The sequence below is a fragment of the Homo sapiens genome, chromosome 12, assembly GCF_000001405.40.
Source record: "Homo sapiens chromosome 12, GRCh38.p14 Primary Assembly".
Taxonomy (NCBI): domain Eukaryota; kingdom Metazoa; phylum Chordata; class Mammalia; order Primates; family Hominidae; genus Homo; species Homo sapiens.
The window spans coordinates 83,432,041-83,437,728 of record NC_000012.12 but is presented as its reverse complement, the minus strand read 5'-3'; the positions used below and the strand labels follow the sequence as shown (position 1 = coordinate 83,437,728).

The window sequence follows — 5,688 nt, the reverse complement described above, 5'->3', positions numbered from 1 at the left end:
ATATAGAAAAAGTTTTAGTAGTCAGTAAGAGATCAAATCAGCCACAACATAGCCTTAAATCAATGCCTCATCTAGAGCAAGGCCCTAACTCTCTTCAACTTTATGAGGCTACAATGAGAAATCTGCAGAAGAAAAATTTAAAGCTGGCTGGGCAGGGTGGCTCAGGCCTGTAATCCCAGCACTTTGGGAGGCCGAGGTGGGCAGATCATTGAGGCCAGGAGTTCGAGACCAGCCTGGCCAACATAACAAAACCCCATTTCTACTGAAATATATTTAAAAAATTAGCCGGGCATGGTGGCACCTGCCTGTAGTCCTAGCTACTTGGGAGGCTGAGGCAGAAGAATCGCTTGAACCCAGGAGGCGGAGGTTACAGTGAGCCGAGATTGTGCCATTGTACTCCAGCCTGGGCAACAAGAGCAAAACGTCATCTCAAAAATAAGGAAAAAGAAAAAGAAAAGTTTAAAGATAGCAGATACCAGTTTATGATGTTTAAAGGAAGAATCCATCTGTATAACATAAAAATGTAAGGTAAAGAAGCAAGTGCTGACAGAGAACCTACAGCAAGTTTCTGTAAGATCTAACTAAGATAATTGATGAAGGTAGTTACACGGAGCAACAAGTTTTTGTCGTGGAAAAAACAGCCTTCTATTGGAAGAGGTGTCACCTAGGGCTTTCGAAGTCAGAGAGAAGTAAATGCCTGGTCTATTAGTCTGTTCTCACATGGCTATAAAGACATTCCTGAGACTAGGTAATTTAAAAAAAATTTATGCAGCCAAAAAACACATCAAGAAGTGCTCATCATCACTGGCTATCAGAGAAATGCAAGTCAAAACCACAATGAGATACCATCTCACACCAGTTAGAATGGTGATCATTAAAATGCCAGGAAACAACAGGTGCTGGAGAGGATGTGGAGAAATAGGAACACTTTTACACTGTTGGTGGGACTGTAAACTAGTCAACCATTGTGGAAGTCAGTGTGGCAATTCCTCAGGGATCTAGAACTAGAAATACCATTTGACCCAGCCATCACATTACTGAGTATATACCCAAAAGATTATAAATCATGCTGCTATAAAGACACATGCACATGTATGTTTATTGTGGCACTATTCACAATAGCAAAGACTTGGAACCAAGCCAAATGTCCAACAATCATAGACTGGATTAAGAAAATGTGGCACATATACACCATGGAATACTATGCAGTCATAAAAAATGATGAGTTCATGTCCTTTGTAGGGACATGGATGAAGCTGGAAACCATCATTCTCAGTAAACTATCGCAAGGACAAAAAACCAAACAACACATGTTCTCACTCATAGGTGGGAATTGAACAATGAGAACACATGGACACAGGAAGGGGAACATCACACACCAGAGCCTGTTGTGGGGTGGGGGAAGGGGGGAGGGATAGCATTAGGAGATATACCTAATGCTAAATGACGAGTTAATGGGTGCAGCACACCAACATGGCACATGTATACATATGTAACAAACCTTCACGTTGTGCACATGTAACCTAAAACTTTAAGTATAATAATAATAATAATAAAGAATGTAGTTGAATTGAAGAAAATGCTTTAAGAGTTCATGCATACAAACATGTTTGGAGAAGTGATATTACTTAATGGAACTTTTTAAATGTCTTTGATAATTTTGAAGAAGAATGTTAACTTCAAAATTCTGTTTTTAGTAAGTGAGTTATTTTTCTTAAAAAGTAGAAAGTATAGGTCTAAGACTCCCTGTTAGATGGAAGAGCTCTGGGCTAAGTTTTCCTGGGTTTGCCCTGTCCCCTTCATCTCTCATTTCTGTGAGAGTGTAAAGTAATGCATTAAATAAATAAAAATATGATTAACAAAAATTAAAAAATTTAAAAATTAAAAAAAAGAGGTTTAATTGACTCACAGTTTCACATGGCTGGGGAGGCTTCAGGAAACTTACAGTCATGGTGGAAGATGAAAGAGAAGCATGCACCTTCTTCACCAGGAGGCGGTAGAGGGAATGAATGCAGGAGGAACTACTCAACACTTATAAAACCATCAGATCTCATGAGTACTCACTCACTATCATGAAAACAGCATGGGGGAAACTGTCTCCATGATTCAATTATCTCCACCTGGTCTCTCCCTTGACACATGGGAATTATGAGGATTAAAATTCAACATGAGATTTTGGGTGGGGGAAACAGCTAAACCCTATCACCTGGATTCAAAGCTTCAAAAGATAGGCTGACTCTCTTTTTAAGAACTAACGCAGCTGACAACTAAGTTTAAGTTAATGTTCAATAACCATTCCAAATTTATAGCCCTTAAGAATTATGTTAAATCTACTGTCTGTGGCCTGTAAATGGAAAAAAGAATTTTATTAAATCTGCTCTGCCTGTGGTCTATAAATGGAACAAAGAGTAGATTATAGCACATTTATTTACAGCATGGTTTGCTGAATATTTTAGACCCACTGTTGAAACCTACTAAGAAAAATATTCTTTTCAAAATATTGCTCATTGACTATGCTCCTGGTTACCCAAGAGCTCTGATAGAGATGTACAAGGAGATTAGTATTTTAATGCCTGCTAACACAACATTCATTCTGCAGCCCATGGATCAAAGAATAATGTTGACTTTGAATTCTCATCACTTAAATACATTTATAAGATTACATCTACCACAGAAAGTGATTCTTCTGATGGATCTGGGCTAAGTAAATTCAAAGCCTTTTGGAAAGGATTCACTATTCTAGATGCCATTCAGAACATTTGTGATTCATGGGAGGAAGGTCAAAATATTAACATTAATAAGAGTTTGGAAGAAGTTGATACTAACCTTCACAGATAGTCTTGAAGAGTTCAATACTTAAATAAAGCAAATTACTGAACATGTAGTGGAAATAGCAAGACAATTACAAGTGAAGCCTGAAGATGTCACTAAATTGCTGCAATCTCATCATAAAAGTTGAAAAACGAGGAGTTGCTTTTTAAGGAGAAGCAAAGAAAGTGGTTTCTTGGATGGAATCTACTCTTGGAGATGTTGTGAATGTTGTAGAGATGACAGCAAAGGATTTAGAGTAATACACAAACTTAGTTGATAAAGCAGTGGCAAGCTTTGAAAGGACTGACTCCAATTTTGAAATAAGTTCTACTGTGGGGAAAACACCATCAAACAGCATTGCATGCTACAGAGAAATCTTTTGTTAAAGGAAGAGTTGATCAATACGGTAAACTTCATTGTTGTCTTCTTATTTTCTTTTTTTACAATTGCCACAGCCACCAAACCTTCAGTAACCACCAACTAGATCAGCAATCATCAAAAGTGAGGCAAGACCCTCCAACAGCAAAAAAAAAAAAAAAAAAAAAAAAAAGACTTACTAAAAGTTTAGATGATTGATAACATTTTTTAGCAATGAAGTATTTTCTAATTAAGGTTTGAACAATTTTTTTTAGACAAGTGGTATTGCACATATAACAGACTATAGTATAGTGGAAACATATCGTCTATGTTCAGTGGGAAACTAAAAAGTTAGGATGACTCACTTTATTGTTATATTTGCTATCTTGCAGTTGTGTAGAACTAAACCTACGGTATCTCAAATGTGTGCCTGTACTTCTCAAAATTCCACAAAAAAATAAAAAATAGAGTTGGTGGAGGGAGTACTTAGGCCAGTATCACCTAAGCCAGATAAATATCACAAGCAAACTACAGGTCAAAATCTCTGAATATTAATGCAAAAATTATTAATTAAATAGCCAATCGAATTTAACAACATATCAAAAAGATTACACGTCATAATCAAGTCATTTATCCCTGGCATGCAAGGGTAGTTTAATACATGCAAATAAATCAATGTGATAGATAACATTGAGAGTGAATGACAAAAACCTCATGATTATCTAAATTGGTGCAAAAAAAAGTATTCAACAAAGTTCAACATCTTTTCTTGATTAAAAACTCTTAACAATTTAGATATAGAAGCTAACTGTCATCAACCTAATAAAGGCTATTTATGAAATATTCACAGCAAACATCATAACAAATGGGTAGAAATGGAAAGTTTTTCCTCTAAGATCTGGGGAGGAATAAACTGAAAGCTTTTCTTTTAAGAACTGTTCAAGATAAGAATGCCCCATTTTCACCACTTTATTCAACATACTACTTGAATTACTATCAAGAGCAATCAGACAAAAAGAAAAATTATTCAAACTGAAAAGGAAGAAACAGTTATTTCTACTTGCAGATGGCATGATTCTTTATGTAAAAATTCCAAAGACTACACCAAAAAATCTATTCATACTGATAAATAAATTCAGTAAAGTTGAAAAATACAAAATCAGCATGCAAAAATCTGTGGGACTTCTATACGTAAATCATGACCTAGCCAAAAATTTTAAAAAAATAATAATCCATTATGACCGCATACAAAAAATAAAATGCCAAGAAATAAATTTACCCAAAGAGGTGAAAGACTTGTACACTGAAAACTGAAAACATTGATAAGGGGATGAGGGAGGCCAAGATGACCAACCAGAAGTAGTGGTGATTGCAGGCTCCCATCAAAAAGATCCAAAACAGGGTGTGAATCATGCACCAGCAACTGAGGTATCCAGATCTGTCATTAGGACTGACTAGGCAGCTGGCATGACTTACGGAGGGAAAGGAAGAGTAGTGTGGTGTGGGTGGTCCACCTGAGAGCCACACAGGGCAGAGGAGCCCCTATCCCCAGCCAAGGGAGGCAGTGAGTGAGCATGCTACCCAGCCTGGGAAATTGTGCTTTACCTACAAAACTGTGAAACCCATGGATTGGAAAATTCCACTTGTGAGCCCATGCCTCCAGGGCCTTGGCTGTGAACCACGGAGCCACACAGATTCTCAACAGCCACTAAGCTAGAATCTGCCTAAGCCTGCAGAGTTCCTGGGGGGAGCATTGGCCATCACCACTGCTGCGGCTGCCTTCTAAGGCTGCTGATCTCTTGGGGGAGGGGAGGCAGCCCCTGCAGCTGCAGGGCTTCCCTGCAGGAACTCCAACTCCAGCCAGGGGCTCAGGGACAGAACTCTGATCTCCTTGAGCCTGAGTCCCTAGGGGAGAGGTGGCCATAGTCTCTGCAGACCAGCACACTTAGTCTTTCCTCCTGCTAGCTCTGAGAAATCCAGGCAACCCAGACAAGGGGGTTTCCCTCCAGCACAGCACACCCCCTCCACCAAGGGGCAGCCAAAGTACTTGGTTAAATGAGTACTGCTTCATGTGCCACCCAACTGGGTGAAACCTACCACTAGGGGTTGTCAGACACCCTATCCAGGAGCATTCCTACTGGCATCGCGTCAGTGCCTCTCGAGGTCAGAGATCCCAGAGGAAGGAGCAGGCACCCATCTTTGCTATTTTCCAGCCTCCATGAGTGACATCTCCAGGTGTGGTAGTGAATCAGATGAATAGGGCCTGAAGTGAACCCCCTAGCAAACCACAGCAGCCCTACAGAAGAGGGAGCTGACTATTGAAAGAAAAAAACAGAAAGCAACAACAACAGCATCAACAAAAAAAGAGTCCCCATAAAAACCTCATCCAAGGGTCAGCAGCCTCAAAGACTGAAACTAGACAAACTCACAAAGATGAGAAATAATCCATGAAAAAACACTGAAAACCCAGAAGGTCAGAATGTCAGTTCTCCACCAGATGATCACTACACCACTCCAGTA

The 5,688-nt window shown here is 39.2% G+C and overlaps 1 annotated feature.

The window, feature by feature from the left end:
- Positions 4,948 to 5,448: an enhancer, noted in NCBI's record as "H3K4me1 hESC enhancer chr12:83826060-83826560 (GRCh37/hg19 assembly coordinates)". NCBI's record gives its function as "activates a minimal SCP1, AML or CMV promoter by ChIP-STARR-seq in primed H9 embryonic stem cells {active_cell/tissue: H9 hESC(primed)}" and the evidence as "EXISTENCE:reporter gene assay evidence [ECO:0000049][PMID:30033119]".